Source organism: Homo sapiens, chromosome 10 (genome assembly GCF_000001405.40).
Source record: "Homo sapiens chromosome 10, GRCh38.p14 Primary Assembly".
Classification (NCBI taxonomy): domain Eukaryota; kingdom Metazoa; phylum Chordata; class Mammalia; order Primates; family Hominidae; genus Homo; species Homo sapiens.
In genome coordinates this window covers 122,954,396-122,979,111 of record NC_000010.11, presented here as the reverse complement: position 1 = coordinate 122,979,111, position 24,716 = coordinate 122,954,396, and the positions used below count along the sequence as shown (strand labels likewise).

Here is a 24,716-nt window from a genome sequence, read left to right as displayed (position 1 = left end):
AATGTGAAGACGTAAGGACAAAATCAGTGTATACTGTGTCAAAATATGACGAGTAACCTGCTAAAGCTGATATAATTTGTATGAAGCACTTACAAATAATCTCATTTTCCTTTGGACTGAAAGTGAAGAGCAATGAGTTAAACTCTTTATTTCATGACATTTTATCATTATTGGTCCAGTATAAGGTCCCTCTCCTTAATTTGCCCCTCCCCCACTTTTTTAAGAGACAGGGTTTTGCTTTGTCACCCAAGCTGGAGTGGAACCATAGCTCATTGTAACCTCGAATTTCTAGGCTCAAGCAATCCTCCTATCTCAGCCTCCTGAGTAGCTGGGACTATAGGCATGTGCCATTGAGCCTGGCTCCACTGTCTTTTATCTCCCATCCTCCACATCCACACCCATTTAACCCCTGCAGGCAACCGGTTTTTTTTTTCTTTTTATCATAGTTATTTTTGTTTTGGTTATGTATTTTTTTTAAATAGGCTTTATTTTTTAAAGCAGTTTTAGGTTCACAGCTAAACTGAGCAGAAAGTAGAGTTCTCATATACTCCTTCCCCTCCTCATTCATAACCTCCCCCACTATCAACATCCTTCACCAGAGTGATACATTTGTTACAATCAATAATCAATGAACCTACATTGACACATCATTATCACCTAAAGGCCATAGTTTACTATTGGTGTAAAATAGTTTACTATTGGTATTGGGGTTTACTCTTGGTGTACATTCTGTAGGTTTTGGCTATGTATAATGACACATATCCATCAGTACAGAATAGTTTCACAGCCCAAACATCCTCAGAGCACAGAGCACAAACATCCTCTGTGCTCCATCTGTTTATCCTCCCTCTCCTCTAACCCCTGACACCATTGATTTTTGTGTGTGTGTCTCTGTAGTTTTGCCTTGTCCGGAATAACATACAATTATATAATTGTAATCACACAATTTTAATTTGCTTCTTTTACTTAGTAATATGCATTTAAGGCTCCTCTATGTCTTTTTATGGCTTGACAGTGCATTTCTTTTTAGCCATGAATAATATTCCAATGTCTAGAGGTACCACAGTTTAGTTTTCCACTCACCTACTGAAGGACATCTTGGTTGCTTCCAAGATTTGGCAATTATGAATAAAGCTGCTATAAACATCCATGTGCAGGTTTTTGTGTGGACGTAAATTTTCAACTCATTTGGGTAAATATCATACCAAGAAGCGTGACTGCTATATCATACAGTAAGAGTGTTTAGTTTTGTAAGAAACTGCCAAACTGTCTTCCAAAGTGGCTGTACCATTTTGCATTCCAGTCAGCAATGAATGAGACTTCTTACTGCTCCACATCCTCCCTCATATTTGGTGTTGTCAATGTTTTGGATTTTCGTCATTCTAGTAAGTGTGTAGTGGTATCTCACTGTTCTTTTAGTTTGCATTTCCTTACTGACATATGATGTTAAACATCTTTTTTCTTTTTTTTTTTTTTTTGTGAGACAGAATCTTGCTCTGTCACTCAGGCTGGAGGCAGATCATGGTTCACTACAGCCTCAACCTCCCAGGCTCAAAGCAATCCTGCTGCTTCAGCCTCGTGAGCAGCTGGGACTACAGGCATGCACCACCATGCCTGGCTAATTTTTATTTTTATTTTTGTAGAGATGAGGTCTCCCTATGTTGCCCAGGCTGGTCTCAAACTGCTGGGCTCAAACAAACCTCTGCACCACCATGCCTGGCTAATTTTCATTTTTGTAGAGATGAGGTCTCCCTATGTTGCCCAGGCTGGTCTCAAACTCCTGGGCTCAAACCTCATGCCTCAGCCTTCCAAAGTGCTAGGATTACAGGCGTGAGCCACTATGCACAGCCAAACATCTTTTCATATGCTTATTTGCCATCTGTACATCTTCTTTGGTGAGGTGCCTGTTCAGATCTTTTTGCCTATTTTATTTACCATTTTTGAGATGGGGTCTCACTACATTGCCCATGCTGGTCCCAAACTCCTGGGCTTGAGCAGTCCCCCACCTGAGTAGCTGGGGTTACAGGCATGCACCATTATGCCTAGCTTCTTTTTGCCCATATTTAAATTGGGTTGTTTTCTTGTTGTTCAGTTTTAAGCGTTGTTTGTATATATTGGACAACAGTCCTTTTTACAAGATCCCTTTGGCAAACATTTTCTCCCAGTCTGTGGTTTATCTTTTCATTCTTGTCACAGTGTCTTTTGGAGAGAAGTTTTTAATTTTAATGAAGCCCAGTTTACCAATGACTTCTTTCATGCATCATACCTTTGGTGTTTTATCAAAAATATCGTCACCAAGCCCAGTCTTCTAGATTCTCTGTTATCCTTTAGTCTTATAGTTTTGGGATTTACATTTTGTTCTATGATCCATTTTGAGTTAATTCTTGTGAAGGAGGTAAAGTCTGTGTGTAGATATCTAGTTTCAGCACCAGTTGTTGAAAAGACTATTTTTTTGTCCATAGCATTGCCTTTGCTCCTTTGTCAAAGATCAGTTGACTGTATTTATGTGGGCTCTCTATTCTGTTCATTGATCTATTTGTCTATTCTTTTGCCAATATGACACTATCTTTATTATTATAGCTTTATAGTAAGTCTTGCAGTTGGCTACTGTCAGTCTTCTAGTTTTGCTCCTTCTTTAATATTGTGCTGGCTAGCCTAGATCCTTTGCCTTGCCACATAAACTTTAGAATCACTTTGTTGATATCCACAAAACAGCTTGCTGGGGTTGAGACTGTGTTGAATCTATAGATCAAGTTGGGAAGAAATGACATCTTGACAATATTATTTCTATTCATGAACACGAAATATTTTAGTTTATTTCTTTCAACAGAGTTTTGTAGTTATCATCATGTAGATTTCATGCATATTTTAAAAATTTTATACCCAATAAAAAGAAGCTTTAAATTTAAGTATTTCATTTTGGGGGGTGTTCATGTAATGGTATTGTGTTTCTAATTTGAAATTTCACTTGTTCATTGCTGGAATTAAGAAAGTGGTTGATTTTTATGTCTTGACCTTGTATCCTAAAACTTTGCAATAATCATGTATTAGTTCCAGATTTTTTGTTATGGATTCTTTTGGATTTCTACATAGACAATCATGTCATCTGCAGACAGTCTTATTTCTTCCTTCCCAACATGTATACCTTTTATTTTCTGTGTCTTATTATATTAGCTAGGACTTCCAGTATAATGTGGAAAAAGTGGTGAGAGAGGACATTCTTGCCTTGTTACTGATCTTAATGGAAAAGTCTCTAGTTGGTCACCATTAAGTATAATGTAAGCTATAGGTGTTTTGTAGATAGTTATCAGGTTGAGGAAGCACTCCTCTATTCCTACTTTGCTGAGGGTTTGTATCATGAATGTCTGTGGAATTTTGTCAAATGCTTTTTTTGCATCGATTGATATGATTATGTGATTTAATTAATGTCTTGATATGATGGATTACATTAACTGGTTTTCAAACATTGAACCAGCTTTGCATGCTTGGAATAAAACCCACTTGGTTGTTGTGTATAATTTTTATACATTTTAAAATTCAATTTGCTAATATTTTGTTAAGGATTTTGGCATCTATATAGATACAAAACAGATAGTTCTAGGTCCAAGAGAAGTATTGGTCTGTAGTGTTCTTTTCTTGTAATGTCTTTGTTTTTGACATCTGGGTCATGTTGGACTCATAAAACAAGTTAGAAAGTATTCCTTTTGCTTCTACCATCTGGAAGAGATTGTAGAGAATTGGTATAATTTCCTCAAATGTTTTGTAGAATTTGCCAGGTTATCAATCTAACCTCAATTAACTTTCCAATAATCTATTTTGGAAAAACCATTTTTAAAGTTTTTTGTAAAAACATAATGCTTTGTATTTCAGAATTCCAAAATGAACTATTGTAACTTCAAAGTTAGGTGTCTACTATCTAAAAAGACATGCTTCCCAATAATAGGTTCAAATATAAGCATGTGACATTGACATATAGCCTTAATTATAGTTTGCTCTTAAATTTGTAAAGCTTTCCTTTACAGACCTCAATCTCACCTGAGGCTCAGAAAAGGACAATAGTGTGATTACATATTTACTGGATATATGATTCTCTTAAATCAGCAGGGTGTAGCCAGGCATGGTGGCTCATGCCTGTAATCCTAGCACTTTGGGAGGCCGAGGTGTGAGGATCACTTCAGGCCAGGAGCTCTAGAACAGCTTGGGCAACAAAGCGAGACCCCACCTCTACAAAAATAATTAGCAACATGACATCATCACATTACTACTGGAGATTGATACAGGGTCTAGGTGGGTGGATGTGGGACCAACAATGGGGCCCAGAGCAATTGGGGATGTGAACTTAGGTCCCATTTTGCATACTCCCTCCTTCTCTTAGCCCCAGGGTTGCCCACTTCCCCCTTCTGGAAGGGGAGCTACTCTTGGCTGCATTTCAAGCTCCTTTCACTCTAGCTTGGGATGCCCCAGAAATCATCCTTCTGCATATTCAGCGTGGCTGCCTTCTGTAGTCTACTCACTTGTCCCTGCATGCACTGGGGTCAAGGCTGGGTGTTCTGTGTAGTTTAGGATGAGAAGAGTTATATGGGAAAAATTCTTCTTTATCATGTAAAAATGGTCATCCCCATTATTGTTTGGATATTTGTTCTCTCCAAATCTCATGTTGAAATTTGATCCCCAATGTTGGAGATGTGGCCTAGTGAGAGGTATCTGAGTCGGGCGTTGTTAGGCCATTCTTTCATTGCTACAAAGAAATACCAGAGAATGGGTAATTTATAAAGAAAAGAGGTTTAATTGGCTCACAGTTCTGCAGGCTGTACGGGAAGCATGGCACCGGCATGTGTTCAGCTTCTGGGAGCTTTTACTCATGGCAGACAGCCAAGCAGGAGCAGGCATGTCACATGGTGAAAGCAGGAGCATGAGAGAGTTGAGCGGGAAGTGAAACACACTTAAACAACTAGATCTTGTGAGAACTCATTATCATGAGGACAGCACCAAGTCATGAGTGATCTGCACCCATGACCCAAACACCTCCCACCAGGCCCCACATCCAACATTGAGGATTACAATTCAACATGAGATTTAGTGGGGACATATATTCAAACTACATCAAGGATGAATCCTTCAGGAATAGAGTAATTCCCTTCCTGGGGAGGGAGAAGTGAGTTCTTGCTCTATTAGTTCCCATGAGACCTGGTTGTTAGGGGCCTGGTGTCTCCCCTCTTGCTTCCTCTCTCACCATATGATCTCTGCACATGCAGGCTCTCCACTTTCCATGACAAGTAGAAGCAGCCTGAGGCCATTAACAGGAGCAAATGCTGGCTCTATGCTTCTTGCACAATCCACAGAATCATGAGCCATATAAGCCTCTTTGTAAACTAACCAGCCTCAGGTATTGTCTATAGCAAAATTAAATGGGTCAAGACATCTCCATCACCCCTTGTTGGCAGAGGTCTTTTTCCCAGGCCAGCAACTGTCGTAGCTTCCATTGTTCCCTCTGAGCTCAGTATATGTTTGGTGGACTGACACTTCCAAAAAACCTTTATGTCAGAAGAAAGCCTGGTGGGAAAATTAAGTGAAAACAACAGAAATTGAGTGACTGTGGAAGAGGCTAGTGACAACCTACTCCCTACCAAGAGAGCCTGTGTGGAACAAAAGAATCAACTGAGCCAGGAATTAGAAACTCTATTTATCCACAGAGGGAAAATGGACCAGAGATTGACAGCCATCTCCCAGAGTCAGGGCAGCTGAGAAGGAATGTACAGGGAAATAGTATTTGAAAATTACATCAAGGTCAGTCAAACTGCAACTGTTACGGATTTAAGCATTTATTAATACCAGATCAATGTGATTACCCTCCCAAACCTATGTAGTCCACATTCCCATTCCCCATTTCAAGAAAGGACACTACCTTTAGCCCAGCTAACCTAGCAGTCATCCTCGATCCTTCCCTCTTCTTCACCCCCAAATCAAGTTTATCTGCAAGTCTCCTCCATTTTATCTTCAAAATATATCTCCATTTCTGCCTTTCATTCCAGGCCTCTACAGATTCACAAGCTCTTAACTGAAACCACTGTATCCAGATGTAGTTTGAAATTAGTAATATTTTGGAGTTTAGTAGGCAATACATATAATACATTACATGCTCAGTGGGTGTCTAATAAAAATACATTAATACATAATACATATATTAGTAATCAAATAAATTAATATTTCTGCAATGAAATTTATGCATTTTCATCCACCCCAAATAACCATCATTTGAAATCCCATGTTCATCCTCTTTTTGTACTTATAGTCCTGAAAAATTTTATGTTTAAAACAAATTACAAAAATGGTATGCTATTTGTAACCTTTTAGGATGTAACTTTTTTCACTTTTATTAATGGGAGTCACCCATAGTACTGTATATTGATGTAGTTCATTAATTTTGACTGCTGAATATTTCATTATGTAAATATATCATAATTTATTCATCTTGTTGGTGGGCATTATGGTTGTTTCAAGATTTTGCTATTGTGAATGGTGCTACAATAAACATTCTTGTGTATGTCCCCAGTTGTATGTATGCATCAATTACTATTGTGTATATGTTTAGGTGTAAAACTGCTAGACTTGAAGTTTTGGAGATAATATCAAACTATTTTTCAAAATGATTCCATCAATCTACATTCCTATTAACATTTTAAAAATCCAGTAGACCTACATCTTCTTTAACATTTGATTTTTATTTTTACCAATCTAATGGACATAAAGTATCATTGTGGTCTTGCTTTGCATTTCCCTAATCACTAACAATGTTGAACACCTCTTCACTTGTTCCTTCAGTTTTTTGGCTGTGTATATTTACTCTCCTGTGAAATGCTCAATGTATTTCAATGTATTTTGCACACTCTCACTGTAACTAACCCACTTCCATGATAAAAGCATTCATCCATTCATAAGGGAAGAGCCCTCATGTCTTAATCACCTCTTAAAAGCCCCATTCCTAATACTGTTACATCGAAGATTAATTGTTTTCAACATATGAACTTCTGGGGCATACATACAAACTGTAGCATTTTTCCCCAACCCCCAAAATTTATGTCTTCACAATGTAAAATACAGTGATTACATCCCAATAGCCTCAGAGTCTTAACTTGTTCCAGCATCAACTCAAAAGTCTGAAGTCTCATCTAAATCAGATATGGTTGAGACTCAAGGCCTGATTCACCTGGGGCAAACTCCCTCCAGCTCTAAGTTTGTGAAATCAAAACAAGTTATCTACTTCCAAAACACAATAGTGGGACAGACACAGGATAGACATTCCCATTCCAAAATAGAGATATAAGCAAAAAGAAAGGGGTAACTGGTCCTAAGTTCAAAACTCAACAGTAAAAACAGCATTAAATCTTAAAACCAGAGAATAATCTCCTTTGACTCCATGTCCTGTATGCTGGACACAGCTTATAACTTGTTGGGGGTGAGGGGTTGGGCCCCCAAAACCTTGGGCAGGTCTGTTCCTATGGCTTTGCAGGGCTCAGTCCATGCTTCAGTTCTCTTGGGCTGGAGTTGCAGACTGGTGTCCCTAAAGTTCCAGGATCTTAGGGGTGGCCCCACTTCCACAGCTCCACTAGGCACTGCCCTGGTGAGCCTCTGAGTGGCTCCACCCTGGTGATACATCTCTGCCTGGGCACCCAGGCTGTCCATGCCTTCCTTTGAGGTCTTGGTGAAGGAAGACATGTCTCCACAGTTCTTACATTCTGTGTACCTGCAGAATTAGTACCATGTAGATGCCACCAAAGTTTACAGTTTGTAACCTCCAGAATGGTATCATGAGCCACACCTGGGCCTGCTTGAGCCACAGCTGGGGTGGCCAAGAGGTGCTGCAATGAAATGTGGGGAGCAGGGGCCCAAGGCAGCTCTGAAGAGTGAGCCTGTGGAAGATGTCCCAGGTCTGCCTCCAGAAACATCCTTCCCTCCTAGAGCTCTGGGACTGTGGTAGAAGGGGAAGCCTCAAAGATCTCTGAAATACCTTTGAGTCTTTTCCCCCATGATCTTGATGAATATCTGGCTCCCTTATAGCAGTCATCTCTTTAGCAAACAGCACTTGGCCCACACGCTTAGTAATCTCTCCCAAAGTTTTCCAGTCTGTGAAGTTCACTCTGTAATAGCTGGACTCTGAGTTTTCCAAATCTTTCTGCTTTACTTTCCTTTTAATTGTAAATTCTGTCTTTAATCATGGCTTTGCTCTCACATCTCACTGAATGCAGTTAAAAGTAGCCACACAGCAGGCTGAGTGCTTTGCTGCTTAGATGTTTCTTCTGCCAGATATCCTAATTCATTGCTTTTAAATTCTCCATTTCATAAAGCCCTAGGGTATGGACATAACCTAGTCAAGGTCTTTGCAACTTTGTAACAGGATGGCCTTTACTCCAGTTTTCAATACCTTCTCATTTCTGTCTGAGACCTCATCAGAATGGCCTCTACAGTCCACATTTCTACCAACATGCCAGTCACAACCATGTAAGTAATCTAAAAGAAGATTCAGACTTCCCCTATAGCTTGCCTCTTTTAAACAATCATTACAATTGCCCCTAATGCTCCATTCATGGCAATACGGTCATTTTTCTAGGCTGCTCTTCCAAACTCTTCCAGCCTCTGCCTATTACTTTAGTTTCAAAGCCACTTCCACATATTCAGGTATTTGTTACAGCAAGAGCCCCATTTCTAGGTACCATTTTTTTGTCACAAAAAAATTATTTACTTAAATGGAGAAGAGATCTTGCTACATTGCCTAGGCTGAAGTGCAGTGGTTATTCATAAGCAAGAACATGACACACTAGAGCCTCGAACTCCAGGGCCTCAAGCCTACTGAGCCTCCCAAGTAGCTGGGACTACAGGCTTGACCAATGATGCCCAGTTCTTTGTGCCAATTTTCTGTCTTAGTCTATTTTCTGCTGCTATAACAGAAAACCACAGACTTGGTAACTTTTTATTTTATTATTTATTTTTTTGAGAAGGAGTTTCACTCTGTTGCCCAGGCTGGAGTACAGTGACGCGATCTCAGCTCACTGCAACCTCCACCCCCCAGGTTCAAGTGATTCTCCTGCCTCAGCCTCCTGAGAAGCTGGGATTACAGGCGCCTGCCACCACACCGGGCTAATTTTTTTTTTTTTTTTGTATTTTTAGTAGAGACCATATTGGCCAGGCTGGTCTTGAACTCCTGACCTTGTGATCCACCTGCCTTGGACTCCCAAAGTGCTGGGATTACAGGCGTGAGCCACTCGCACCCGGCCAACCTTTTATATTTTTTTAAAAAAACTTTTAAGTTCAGAGGTATGTGTGCAGGTTTGTACATAGATAAACTTGTGTCATGGAGGTTTGTTGTACAGATTATTTAATCAGCTAGTTATTAAGCCTACTACCCATTAGTTATTTTTCCTGATCCTCTTCCTCCTCCCACCTTCCACCTTCTGATAGGACCCTTCTGATAGTGTGTGTTGTTCTTCTCTATGTGTCCATGTGTTCTCATTTAGCTCCCACTTACAAGTGAGAACAAGCAGTAATTGGTTTTCTATTCATGCATTAGTTTGCTAAGGATAATGGCTTCCAGCTCCATCCATGTCCTGCAAGAAAAAGAATGATCTTGTTCTTTTTTATGGCTGCATAGTATTCCATGGTGTATATGTACATTTTCTTTATTCAGTCTATAATTAAAGGGCCTTTAAGTTGATTCCATGTGTTTGCTCTTGTGAATAGTGCTGCAACAAACATGCATGCATGTTTCTCTACAGTAGAACAATTTATATTCCTTTGGCTATATACCCAGTAATGAGATTGCTCAGTCAAATGGTATTTCTGTCTCTAGGTCTTTGAGGAATTTTCACACTGTCTACCACAATGGTTGAACTAATTACACTCCCATTAACAGTGTATAAACATTCCTTTCTCTCTGCAGCCTCACCAGCATGTTATTTCTAGTAGCAGCCATTCTGACTGGTGTGAGATGGTATTTCACTATGGTTTTGATTTGCATTTCTCTAATGATGAGTGATGTTGACCTTGTTTTCATATGATTGTTGGCTGCATGTATATCTTTTTTTGAAAAGTGTTCATGTCTGATATGGTTTAGCTCTATGTCCCAACCCAAATCTCATGTCGTTGTAATCCTCATTGTTGGAGGAGGGGCCTGATGAGAGGTGACTGGATCATGCAGGTGGACTTCCCCTTGCTGTACTCATGACAGTGACTTCTCACGAGATCTGGTTGTTTTAAAGTGTGTAGCACTTCCCTTTTCTCCCATTCTGTAGATTGTCTGTTTACTCCGTTGATAGTTTCTTTTGCTGTGAAGAAGCTCTTTTAGTTTAATTAGATCCCATTTGTCCATTTTTGCCTTTGTTGCAATTGCCTTTGGTGTCTGTCAAAAATCTTTGTCATGCCTATGTCCTGAATGGTATTGCCTAGGTTGTCTTCCAGAATCTTTATAGCTTTGGGTTTTACATTTAAATCTTTACTCCATATTAATTTTTGTATATGGTATAAGAAAGGGGTCCAGTATTGATCTTCTGCATATGGCCAGCCAGTTATCCCAGCACCATTTATTGAATAGGGGAACCTTTTCCCATTGCTTGTTTTTGTCAGGTTTGTTGAGGATCAGATAGTTGTAGGTGTGCAGTCTTATTGCTGGGTTCTCTATTCTGTTCCATTGGTCTGCATGTCTGTTTTTGTACCAGAACCATTCTGTTTTGGTTACTGTAGACCTGTAGTATATTTTAAAGTAAGGTAGTGTGATGCCTCCAGCTTTGTTCTTTTTGCTTAGAATTGCATTGGCTATTCGAGCTTTTTGGTTCCATATGAATTTTAAAATAGTTTTTGTCCAGTTCTGTGAAGAATTTCAATGGTAATTTAAAAGGAATAGCATTGAATGTATAAATTGCTTTTGGCAGTATGGCCATTTTCATGACACTGATTCTTTGTATACATAAACATGGAATGTTTTTTCATGTTTGTGTCATCTCTGATTTCTTTGAGCAGCGGTTTGCAGTTCTTGTAGAGCTCTTTCACCTCCCTGGTTGGCTGTATTCCTATGTATTTTATTCTTTTTGTGGCAGTTGTGAATGGGAGTTCATTTCTGATTTGGCTCTAGGCTTGCCTGCTGTTGGTGCATAGAAATGCTAGTTATTTTTACACATCGGTTTTGCATCCTGAGACTGAGCTTGAGTTATCAGTTTAAGAAGCTTTTGGGCTGAGACTATGGGGGTTTCTAGATACAGGACCAAGTTGTCGGCAAATAGGGATAGTTTGACTTCCTCTCTTCCTGCCTTTTCTTTCTTTCTTTTACCTGACTGCCCTGGCTAGGAATTCCAATACAATTTCATTATTCACCCAAAGGTCATTCAAGTGCAGGTTATTCAATTTCCACATAATTGTATGGTTTTGAGTGAATTTCCTAGTCCTGATTTCTCATTTAATTGCACTGTGGTCCAAGAGACTGTTATGATTTCAGTTCTTTGCATTTGCTGAGGAGTGTTTTGCTAACGTTTATGTGATCAATTTTAGAGTATGTGCCATGCATCGATGAGAAGAATGTATATTCTACTGTTTTGGTGCGGAGAGTTCTGTAGATATCCATCAGGAGCACTTGATCTAGTGCTGAGTTCAGGTCCTGAATATCTTTGTTAATTTTCTGTCTCGATCTAATATTGTCAGTAGGGTGTTAAAGTCTCCCACTATTATTGTGTGGGAGTCTATGTCTCTTTGAAGGCCTCCAAGAACTTGCTTTATGAATCTGGGTGCTTCTGTGTTGGGTGCATATGTATTTCAGATAGTTAGGTCTCCTTGTTATATTGAACCCTTTAACATTATATAATGCCCTTCTCTTTTTTTTTAATCTTTGTTGGTTTAAAGTCTGTTTTGTCAGAAACTAGGATTGAAACCCCTGCTTTTTCCTGTTTTGCATTTGCCTGGTAGATTTTTCTTCATCCCTTTATTTTGAGCCTGTGTGTGTCACTGCATGTGAGATGGGTATCTTGAAGTCAGCATACCAGTGGGTCTTGGCTCTTTATCCAGCTTGCCACTCTGTGTCCTTTAATTGGGGGCATTTAGTCAATTTACATTTAAGGTTAGTGTTGATATGTGTGGACTTCATCTTGTCATCATGATGTTAGCTGGATATTTTGCAGACTTTTTACATGTGGCTCCTTTATAGTGTCACTGGTCTGTGTACTTCAGCATGTTTTTGAAGTGGCTGGTAAATAGTCTTTCCTTTCAATATTTAGTGCTTCCTTTAGGAGCTCTTGTAAGGCAGGTCTGGTGGTAACAAATTCCCTGAGCATTTGCTTGTCTGAAAAGGATCTTATTTCTCCTTTGCTTATGAAACTTAGTTTGGCCAGATATGAAATTCTGGGTTGGCATTTAAGAATGTTGAATATTGGCCCCCAATATCTTCTGGGTTGTAGGGTTTCAGTTGAGAAGTCCACCATTAGTAAGATGGGCTTCCCTTCATATGTGACCTGGCCTTTCTTCTCTGCCTTTAACATTTTTTCTTTCATCTTGACCTTGGAGAATCTGATGATTATATGTCCTTGGGATGATCTTCTTGTGAAGTATCTTACTGGGGCTTCTCTGCATTTCCTGAATTTGAATGTTGGCCTCTCTAGCTAGGTTAAGGAAGTCCTCATGAATGCCATCCTGAAATATGTTTTCCAAGTTGGTTTTATTCATATCTCTTTCAGGTGCACCAATTGGTTATAGATTTGGTCTCTTTCCATAATCCCATATTTTTTGAAGGTTTTGTCATTTCCTTTTTATTCTTTTTTCTCTATTCTTGTCTGCCTTATTTCATAAAGCTAGTCCCTAAGCTCTGAGATTCTTTCCTCTGCTTGGTCTATTCTACTATTAATATTTGTGACTGCATTATGAAATTCTTGTAATGTGTTTTTCAGCTCTATCAGCTAAGTTATGTTCTTCTCTATACTGGCTATTTTGTCTGTCAGCTCCTACAATGTTTTATTATGATTTTTAGCTTCCTTGTATTGGGTTACAACATATACCTGTAGTTCAATGAACTCTGTACCTATCCATACTCTGAATTCTACTTCTGTCATTTCAGCCTTCTCAGCTTCAGCCCAGTTCTGAACCTTTACTGGAGGTGATGCAGTCCTTTGGAGGGAAGAAGGCACTCTGGCTTTTTGAGTTTTCATCATTCTTGCGCTGATCTTCAATCTTTGAGGTTGCTGACCTTTGGTTTTTTTGTTTGTTTGTTTTATCCTATTTGATGACCTTGAGGGTTTGATTGTGGTATAAGGTGAATTCTGTCAACTGGCTTCATTTTTGAGAGATTTTAGGGGGCCAAAGCTCAGATTCCAACTCCTGGACTGCGTTCTCTAACTCTGGGGGACTCATATTGAACCCTGCCATTGTCCCGTGGCTCCTCGTGGTTTACGGTCCACTGTGCTGGGAAGTGCTGTGGCGTGGCAGCTGCAGCAGAGTGCTAGTGGATATGGGGGTGCCTGTCTCCCTGCAGGTGTTCATGGCCAGAGAACGCCAGCAGGGGTGGCTGGAGGCCCCAGTTGGGAGGTCCTGCCCCATGAGGAAGAACAGAATCAGAGACCTACTTAAAGAAGCAGTCTGGCCACATTTTCATACAGCAGCTGTGCTCTGCTTGGGTACCGCTTCTACCCTGTGGTTGGCATGAAGGCTGGAATGGCTAAGTCACCTAAACAGCAAAGATGGCAGCTTGCCCTTCCTTCTGGAAGCTTAGTCCCAGGGAGGTTTCAAAACTCTGACTGGCAGGGGTGGCTGGAGACCCCAGCTGGGAGGTCCCACCCAGAAAGGAGAAACAGGATTGGAAACCCACACTTCTCTCACAGATCTTTGCAAAAAGTCTGGCCATGTTTTTGTAGAGCAGCTGTGCTATGCTGGGGAATCCCTTCCACCCCTGGTTGGCTTGGACTTTCCAAAGCCCAAAGGCTGGTATGGTTAAGTTGCCCAAACAGCAAAGATGGTGCCCTTCCCCTCCCCCAGGAGCTCCAACTTGGCTACCGGTGGCTGGCTGGAATTCCAAGCCAGTGGGTCTTATCCTGTGAGGTGCCTTGGAAGTGGGGCCTGTAGACTGTTGCTGCTCAGCCCTCTGGATTCAGCCTCTTTCCTAGGGGTATGTACGGGGTGGGGTGTCTCATCTCCCAGTTTGCTGGAGTTGCATCTGCTTTTGCTGGGATGCCCAGAAAGCCATCTAGTATCTAAGGCTCCCAAGTCTCCATGTGTCCCTTTGTGGGGCCTCTGCTGAGACTCCCTGTAGCTCTGTGTGTCAGTCAGACTGAAAGCCCTGGTGAAATGGGTTCACGACAGGATCTCCCAACCCAAGGGTTGCAAAGATCTGTGAGAGAAGTGTGGGTTCCCGGGGTGACACACTCATTCACCACTTCCCTGGGCAGGGGAGGCTCCCTTGGCTCTGTGCTGCTTCCAGATGGGCCATTTTCCTGCCTTGCTTTTCTCTGTTCTTTGTGGGTTGTTTCCTTGATTATTCCCAAAGTGACTACCGGCATGTTTCAGTTGAAGGTGCTGTTATTTACTCTCTCCTTCCATTTGTTTCTGTGAGAGCCACAAACACTAGCTACTTCTAGTTGACCATCTTGGCCACCTCCTGTTAATTCTTTAAATTTTTTTTCTCACAGTTCTAGGAGGCTGGGAAGTCCAAGAGCATGGCACCAGCATCTGGAGAGGGTAATCCTATGGCAGAAGGAGGAAGCAAACATGTGAGACAGAGAATAGTGGGCCAAACATTCTTTCAGTAGGAGCCCATTCCTGTGATAGCTCACTCTTGCAATAATAACATTAATTCATTCATGAGGGATCTGCCTCACGAATCATATCTTAAAGACCCCATCTCTTAATAGTGTCACATTGGGGATCATGTTTTCAACACATGAACTTTGGGGAACACATTCAAACCACAGCCCTTGTCTTCTCACTTTTCTCCATTGATTGTCTTTTTGCTTAAGAATGGGCCACATTTTCTTGCATTTTGTGTACCAAGTAATTTTGGATTATGTTCTCAACATTGTGGATGATATGCTGTAGAGATTCTGGACTTTTTAAATTGATTTTTTTTTTTAAAGATAACAGTTAACCTGGCAGAAATAAAACTAAAAACTCACTCTGTCTTACCTGCAATGAGCAGTTGTTCAAATTTCAGTTAATTTATTTTGGCTGAAATGTCTCCCCCATGCATGCATGGCTTGATGCTCAAAACAGTGCCTTCAGAAGTTCCCTGGGCTATTTTTTCTCCTTATATTTGTTGATTTTTATTATATTTGAGTACACAAAACATTAACATGGTTACCTTCCATCTTATCTGTGCCATTCCTACCCAATTCTTGTAGGTAACCAATCACATTTGATTTTCATTTCTTTCCTGTATTTCTTTTTGCAAATATAGGCATGTGAGGCCAGGTGTGGTGACTCACACCTATAATCACAGCACTTTGGGAGGTCAAAGCAGGAGGACTGGTTGAGCCCAAGAGTTTGAGACCAACTCTGAAATCACAGCAAGACCCCTGTCTCTACAATTTTTTTTTTAAATATATAGACATGACGGTACATCCCTGTAGTCCCAGCAACTTGGGAGGCTAAAGTGGGAGGATCACTTGAGCCTGAAAGTCAAGGCTGCAATGAGCTGTGATTGTGCCACTGCACTCCAGCCTTGGCAACAGAGCGAGATCCTATCTCAAAAACAAAACAAAATAGGCATGTGTATTTAACCTTCCCTTTCCTTTTTATACAAAGGTAGCATTACATAAATTTTTTTCACTTTACTTTTTTTTCCCCTTCATAAAGTATATCCTGAAAATCACTCTGTATCACTTCATAGAAATCTTCATTCTTTTTTGTGGCAGCATAGTACTCTATTGTGTGGACGTACAATATTTAATTCAACCACTCTCCTATGTCTGGACATTTAGGTTTCCAACATTTTAAAATGATTCTGAAATAAAAAATATTGAGTGTTTATATTTCTGTATTACTTAACCCATATCTTCAGGTTAAAATCTTAAGAAATAGGAGCAGAGTCAAAAGGCCAATGCATATGTAGTTTTGTTAGATATTGCCAAATTCCCCTCCATTAAAGATTATACCTGCTGATTGAAGCAATTTTCCATGTGCCCTTGGTGTCCCTTTGCCCTTAGTGTCCCTTTGCCCATAGTATGGCAATAATAAAATGCTGACTGCTCTTTACCTAAGTTATTTCTTAGGATTATGTTTCAATCAGCAATCTTGAAAGATGAAGTGCAGTGAGCAATTTTCAGAAATGAAATCATGTCTTCCTCCAGACAGAAAGCAAGCTTGCTTCTGTTTGCTACAAACGCAGTGGATCTTGCAAAAAAACAGTGTTCCTGTTTTGCAGTACAACTCCCTGAGTGTATAGGTACCCATCACTGGCCCCGTGTGTCATCACTGTGGGAGTAAAGGAATGGGAAATAGAAAAAGCCGACATGAAGCTGTGGTTATTGCTTTGCTGTGAGTAATAAAGTCCTTAGTCTCTGACCCAGGAGTCTTTTATCTTCTGCCACTAATCATGAAAGAGTAACAGCTTCTAGCTGATTAGCTTGTGAGTAAGCTAAGTATATAGGGTAAAATCTCAGAGCTTATATAGTTCATGACAGTTTTGGTGATGATGATGATGAAGACAGAATGCAGTTGCTTTCTAGAAAAGAAAGAACAAAAGGTCCTGAGGGCCAAGCTAGAAGATTCAAAACTACCCAAGACCTAGAAGCAAATGCTTTTGTCCAAGTCGTAGGTAGGTGAAGGGTAAAAGTCCACCAGCATGCTATCTGTTAAATTTATATTGGCTGAGTGGTAAGAGGCAGGATTGAAACAAGGTGCCTAAATGGCAACTTGGTTGTTGCTTCTTTGAGTGGGAAGAGGAAGGAATGTTATCAGGACAAAGGGACAGCAATCCCTATTTACCCCAGCTGATAGGCAATGTGGTTGTGGCTACTGTGCCATGGAGTGCCCAAAGCTCAAATAAGTGGTGTTATCAATGAAGATATACAGCTTGGGCAGAGGTAAAGCAGTTCATTTTGTGTGCCTGAGCAGGCAGTTGCTTGCTGCTTTTTTTTTTTTTTTTTTTTTTTTTTTCAGACACGGTTTCACTGTGTCACTCAGGCTGAAGTGCTGTGGAACGATCTTGGCTTACCACAACCTCCACCTGGGCTTAAGAGATCCTCCTAGCTGGGACCACAGGCACACACCACCATGCCGGCTAATTTTTGTATTTTTGGAGAGATGAGGTTTCACCATGTTGCACAGGCTGGTCTCCAACTCCTGGGTTCAAGCAATCTGCCTGGCTCAGCCTCCCAAAGTGATGGAACTACAGGTATGAGCCACCATGCCCAGCCTGAATCTTAAAGTAAATCTTGCTTCCTGGCACTGAGTGACTCTGCCCCTTTGTGCAGCCTTTTGCCTCTCCCTTTACCTAAACCTCAGCTGCTTTAAGGAAAAAATTGAGTATGCTAAGGAACTTTGCAGAGAAAAGGGATTCAAACTTTTATCACTCTGTTGGGTACAAGTACTCATGTTTGGACTAACCTGGTCTTTGGTGTCATTGCCATTAATTATAGGGGGCAATAAATGAGCCAAAAAGCAATCCTCATCCCCAGTGGAGATGAGGCCAACTTTCCTCACATACAAACATATAACCTGAAGGGGCACAGATCACTCCTATTAAAGATTTGTTGTTAAAGTTGATTTAAATCACAATTATATTAGATTGGTTAAGTCACATAGGCATTGTCACTGAATAAGTTCAGCTTCAGTTGTCATCACTCTGTCCCTTCTGATCCTCAGAGAAGCAATGATGTTGGTAGTAATGCTTCATGCTGGAATAGTCATTCTGCTTTGAACTCAGGGTAGGGCTACTTGACCCACCTCACCTTACTGGCTGTTCTTTCAGTGCTGTCACTTAGAGCCCTGGGCAATGCATGAGGTTCTTGCCTTACCTATTAGGTCTTCTGACTACCGCATACGCTGCAGGAAGTACCCAGCACCTACTTCCAATTTCAGCCTCAGCTAAATTTTCCCATGCTGTTCCTAAGACAGCTTTCAATTCACTTTGATCCAGATTCCTGTTCCAAACATGTTAATTGTCCTTAAGGGGAATTGTATTCATCCGGGAATAAGTGAGCAGAAACAGCAAGGTGACAGACAACTCTGAGTCTAAATACCCTGATATCTATAATGAATGACATCCTCAAAAGGACACTCAGACATCTTAGAAAATCTGAGATTCCACCTCTGCCATCCCCAGTATCTTTAGAAGAAGGCTTTCTCCTCTAGTTTCTTTCATAGTATTCTACCAACTCAGCAATTGGGTTCTGTAATTGGTAACAGAAATTGCTAACAGTCTAGCTGCCGAAGCCCAGATTTTCTTAATCACAGCAATGGCAAGTAAAACTCCACCCCTCACTACTTTTGCCCATCTTTTCCCTTCTTTACTAATTTATAGAGCTAAGCTTTCTGAAACTCTAGTTACAAAAAGAATTTCACCTTTAAAGATACCTTGGATGGCCAGGCACAGTGGCTCACGCCTGTAATCCAGGCACTGTGGAAGGCCCAGGTGGGTGGATCACTTGAGGCCAGGAGTTTGAGACCAGCCTGGGCAACATGGCAAAACCCCATCTCTACTAAAAATACAAAAATTAGCCAGGAATGGTAGTGCATGCCTGTAGCCCCAGCTACTCGGGAGGCTGAGGCACGAGAATCACTGGAACCCAGCAGGCAGAGGTTGCAATGAACCAAGATCGCGCCACTGCACTCTAGCCTGGGCGACAGAGCTAGACTCTGTTTAAAAAAAAAAAAAAATTACCTCGAACTGTTTCACCTTTGCTTTGCCAGCACGACTTATTCACAACCTCTGCAAAAATCTCACTTCTAGTTGCTGAGATGGTCTAAAACATGTTATTTATACCTTAGTAGACATTTAATAAATGTTTGTCCCCTTGGCCGCCAAAAATTCACGGGCCTGTGAAAATGAACTTTCCTATTTTACTCTCCAGTGAGGTATTGTTTACACCCATTTCAACAACTCCTCCTACAAAATACAGGTCCATATAAAATTTATAAGCCAATTGGCTCCTTTTTTTTAAAACTCAACATCAATGTCATTTTCAAGTCACCAGTCTGATCTTCTTATTGAATTTTTATAAAAACGTAATAAAGGTATCCTAAAATGTGAGCCAGATACTCAAACATTACTATATCTTTAACTAATCTGACAATATCTAGTGTTTATTTCCCCAAGATTACTCTGTTCCTGGTATTGTGAGGTTAAAAGCAATTATGAAATCCGCTGAAAGCGGGTAGACCTAGAAGAATCATCAATCTCAGTAACCCTAAGAACCACCAAAATGTCTGAGGAAAGAACAAAGCTACAAGATCCATCTCTGCTAATGGAGGATCTGCATATTATCAATCCCTGCTATTTAGAAACAATGATGAAATAGGTTTCAATTCCTTGGTTTCTGAAGCTTTCAACACAACTTTGGAAAAAAGCAGTTCCCACAGATTTCCACTGGTCTTCCTCACTGTGTTCTTACTTCCTACCACTGTTATATGTTTAAAGTAATTATAAAGATAAATGTATAATTATAAATTATTATAATTTATAAAGTAATTATAAACAATTTAACAGTTTAATAAGAGGGCCTTGTATTTTAAGGCTGTTACTTATTCAATATTCACTTTATATTTGTGTACCAGACAATGCATTAAATGCTGGGGATTCACATGTAACTAAAGACAGCTGCTGCTATTTAAAAAGCTCATACTTGATTTGAAGAGAGAAAGTGAGGAAAGTAAAATGTCCACAATAAGTAAAGAAAAATATAATTAAAAATTAATAAAACTTACATTTGGCTGTTCATATGTTGTGCAGAAGCCCCATTAACCTCACTAGAGAAGGCATCAGGTTCAAGAAGCTAAAGAAGAAACCGAGAGCCAGCAAACGAGACATGGGTTTTATTAGGGGCTTACAAATGGGAGAGTCCAGTGGCGGCAGACTAGACAACATAATTGCACAGCCCAGTGGCAGGGGCTGGGCATGAAAACTACAACTGCCTGCAAAGAGCATGCAGTTTATATAGCATTTTCACTTAACAATCTCCCCATAATGACCTCTACCTGGCAACCTTCATCTAACTCAAAACTCAGGGCCTCAATCTCCTGTGCTGCCCAAGTTCTACGGGAAAGTCTGGGGCATCAGATGTTTATCATAGATAAGAAACGAATCCCCAAGATGGCCATGCCCTGGATTCCCTAGCTCAGAACACACATTCAGGTACATCTGCCATAGAGGGTCATTCTAAGGGTATGCTTAAGTTATTGCTGTCAGGTGTATTTACACTACATCATAGTATGTTGTATACAAAAGCACGGCTATCAAAAGTAAAACTGGTAAAAAGGATTCTGTGGCTTCCCCTTAACCTGCAACCCAACAGTACAACATATTCCTGAAGGGATGTTAATAAACTTACCTCAAAATTCTATCATTCTGCACAAAGATGGATTATTTCTGTAGGAAACGTGCAATATTACAAATGAGTTGACAGCATATTATGCAGAATTTTTGATGAGTTACTTCTTCTGAAGGTGCAAGTGCCATGAATGCATAACGAAACATAACAAATCCTACAGCTGATTTAGCTTGGATGCTATTTTCCTTTGTTAACATAAAAAAAGAGTTTATTCACCCAGACCTTCCTTTAAGACTCTAAAACCCTCTAAGTTATTGCCAAGTTCCCAAGGAAACAGGATAAAACCATTTTTACGAAATGGGTCCATTAAGAAAGTTTATTTTAAGCCAGGTGTCCTGAAGCTGGAGTGGATTTTTCCTTTTTCCCTTTTAAATAAACCATAAAATATAGTTGGTGATATGGTTTGGCTATGTCCCCACCCAAATGTCATCTTGAATTGTAGCTCCCATAATTCCCACTTGTTGTGGGAGGGACCCAGTGGTTATCTTTTCAATCCATTCTTTAAGTACTCATTCCTATTAGTGTACGTTACTACAGACTCAAGAACAATGTTGTTGATTTTTTAATTAGAAAGCTATAAAGGTGTAAAAGGGTTCTGAAACCGAAGTGTTAAGGAACTCTGTTATAAAGCCCACAGTTAGCAGCAAGATATGGTTATGTGATTCCCACCTACCTCACCCTGAAAAACCTTTCTTTGTATCTAGATAGGTATAGAGTATTATTTATTTAATTTTAAATAATTATTTAAAATTGAGCTCCAGAGATCAAACTGACAGAGTGTGTCTCAAGTGTGGCCTTACTATATAAATCACACTGTTGATATAAGCTAGCTAGGTATACAAAGACACTCTTATCAGGCAGGACATTCCAATAGGTTAGCGGTCATCTTCCCAGAGCTGGTCAAGAGCCAACTTCTTTGGAAGCTGCAGGGTTTGAACCTCCCAGACTTCCTGAGTTAACCCTTTATTGCATAACAGTTTTAGACAAGATTGGGCATGTTCAGGGTGGTATGGCCATCGACTATTGCATAAGAGTTTTAGGATAAGAAAGCGTCATACAGGTGATAATCATGGATGCGGGCACAGATTCAGCTCTAGTTCGAGAGCTTCTGCAGCATTTCTACATTTCCTCAGAAAGGTTGTATTGAAAATGATATACAGTCTAACAATGTTTCTAACTAGAACAGAGGTTCTAGTTAAAATGAGGTAGAAAGCAGCTATAAATGAAGTTGGGAGAAAAAGATAGGAAGGTTGTTCTTTTCCACTCTGTTAAAATTGCAGGCCCTGTATTGAGGCAGGGTGAGAAGGAATTCCTGGCAACTGTGGGACCTGCAAGGACCAGAAGAGAGGGAAAGGAGGAGAGAAGGTACAACTCAAGTGGTCCTGAGAAGGAAGTTAAGTTCCTATAACCACCTTGCTGGGAAGTATACTCCTGTGTAAAAGGCAGGGCATATATAGTAAGAACTCAATCTACTTAAGATAGTCAAAACATCTAAACTGTGGCATTACTAAATGAATGTGCTCAAGAAAATTAGTATCCTAAGTTACTTTTTTCTAAAATGTACCTTTCAAATGTGCGTTGGCTCATATTCTGAAAACAGATTTGAAATATGCTCCTAAATATTGAGTTCTTGCATATCATTACTGGTGGGAAATTTCCAACTGTATTAGCCATCTTCACGCTGCTGATAAAGACATACCTGATACTGGGTAATTTATAAAGACAAGGTTTAATGGACTCACAGTTCCATGTGGTTGGTTGGGGAGGCCTCACAATCATGGCAGAAGAGCAAGGCAGAGGAAAGAGAGAATGAGAGCGAAGCGAAAGGCGCTTCCCCTTATAAAACCATCAGATCTCCCAAGACTTATTCACTACCACGAGAACAGTATGGGGGAAACTGCCCCCACCATTCAGTTATCTCCCACGGGGTCCCTCCCACAACAAGTGGGAATTATGGGAGCCACAATTCAAGATGACATTTGGGTGGGGACACAGCCAACCATATCACCAACTATATTTTCTGATTTACTTCAAAGAGAAAAGTAAAGCAAAAAACTCACTTGTAATTCATGACAAGAATAATGTATCATATTAAGATTGAAGTCAGCTTTGAACCATAACCATCCTGGCTTTGGAAAAAAGCTTAAGATTGAATGTACTAATTTTCCTTTTTCTGCTGCTCTTAGTTTATGTGATAAAAGCTGTCACCAACCTATCAATTCCATACAACAAACCTGTACTCAACATAATGTCTATCTCAGCAAGCATGCAGATAGTAGGGAACACAGATATATAAACAGGCAAAGTCTGACATCAAAGGAGAATTATACTACCTAAAAAAGTGGTAATTGTAGCACAGAGGAATTTGTTTAATTCTGTAGCAGGATGAAGTAAGCTTGGTTTCGCATGATAAATAGGATTTTTCCTACTATTGAAAAAAATGGCATTCTAGGTAGAGGAAACTGGAAGGTAGGCAGGGTTCAAAGTACAAAGGACTCTGCATGCTATGCTAAGGAGTGAAGGTGTTGATTCAGTCAGGAACATTGATCACCAGAAGGAGAAGAGGGCAGTGCAAAGACTGAAATGGAAGGAATCAAAATGAAAGCTACTGACAAACTCCTGGAATTGTTCAGATAAAGCTAGTGCTTGGAAACAGAAGAAGCAGAGATAGGAAAATTTTTCTTTAAGAAAATGAAGACTTGGTGGTTTATTGGCTGTATGGAAATAAAGGAAAGGATAGACCATAGGAATCTTTTGTTTTCTGATTCCTGGACATTCAGCTTTATTTAAGGAAGTCAAAATCCAGTTTATAATATTGCTATTGCTCATGAAATTGCAGATTAGTTTCTGAAGAGCCTATTTTCCTTCGGATTGTCCACATGTATTAATGTGGATCAAAGTTAACTTACAACCACAGGAAGCAGGACATACAGGACAAAAATAATGACAAGGACAACTTAGAATGAGTCTGAAATATTAAAAAAATCTTTGCAAACGAGGACTTTACAATTCTGCTATGATAGACCTTTGGTGACATTTCTCTCTTTCAATCTTGGTGAATTCACCTACCATACGTACATTCTGGTGATTACTTATAGAAAAATACATTTGGTCATCATTTTTCTTGCTTTGACACAGGTAAACAGAATGCAAAGTTTATTCTCATTTTTAGCTAGAGGGCACAAGTCCTAGTACATAAACTCAAACGAAAACATAAGCAAAAAGATTAAAGTAATGCGCACTGAGTCATGAACCCAGAATAGACAGCTCTGAAAGAAAATTAGAGTATGGGTGAGCAAAAACGTTATTTCCTAGAGAGGATACCACCTTAAACACAACTTTGGAACTCTAGATTATAGACAAGTGGAATTTCAGAGTTTGCTTTTTTCAAAAGACAGAAAAATAATCTGCACAAGCCTCTACAGGAGGAGGATGAGGGGGCACACTATATACAGTCCCATCCCGTGGGGCATCTAGAAAGTTCCATCTGCTCCCACTGTTCTGCATCCGTAGCCTTAAGTTCCTTCAAGACTGAGTTCATATTCTACTTCAACAGAGTTCTGAGACCCCCCCTTTCCACTCGCTGTTTCCAGTGCCATGAGGAGCGATCTCATGGGGCAGCCCCTGCCTTCGGTGTCTGGGTCTTTCTTGCATTTCAAATTTCTGTCACCTAGAGCGTCCAGCCCTGGATGCCCGGGTTCCTGCGGCCTGAGGGTTGCACATGGGGTCAGGGGGCGTCAGCTGAGACAGCACCCGGCGAAGGCCAGCGTGGCTCAATGCCCATCACAGATGCCCTTCAACCCCAAAACCCCATCATCCGCTTCAGCCCCCCTCTAAAGCGAGAATATGTGTGAGGGAGGCTAGGAGAATTCGAAGTAAAAATAACCCGAATCGGCAGCGCGTCCGCCGCGCTAGCTGCCACAAATGCTGCAGATCCGACGGAATGGAAGCAGAAAAGGCCCTGGCGTCCCCTTGGGAAAGAACGAGGTCAGGAGTCGGTCTTGCACGCAGCGTAGAGCGACGAGACTACACCTACCTGATCACAGACGTTCCACACCAGCTCAGCAACGGTCGTCCACGCCGCTTGCTGTTTCCCCACAGCCAACGTCGAAAACACCCTCGTGCCGGCGCGCAGTGCACCGCGCCTGCGCATAGTCTCCAGCGAAAGAGCAAGGGTCTGCCAGTGCGCATGCTCCGCTCTCGACCTCC

The 24,716-nt window shown here is 40.6% G+C and overlaps 1 long non-coding RNA gene across 2 annotated transcripts; it reads right to left on the bottom strand.

Moving 5' to 3' along the window:
* Positions 1–5,806: 5,806 nt before the first annotated feature.
* LOC124902519 (uncharacterized) lies at positions 5,807–24,670 on the bottom strand. Of its 2 annotated transcripts, XR_007062324.1 has the most exons (3): positions 24,544–24,670; positions 19,885–19,952; positions 5,807–14,706 (listed from the first exon to the last, which is right to left on the bottom strand). It is a non-coding gene; the product is annotated as an uncharacterized LOC124902519 (long non-coding RNA). The 2 variants fall into 2 exon arrangements; XR_007062325.1 differs by lacking the exon at positions 19,885–19,952.
* Between the last annotated feature and the right edge of the window lie 46 nt (positions 24,671–24,716).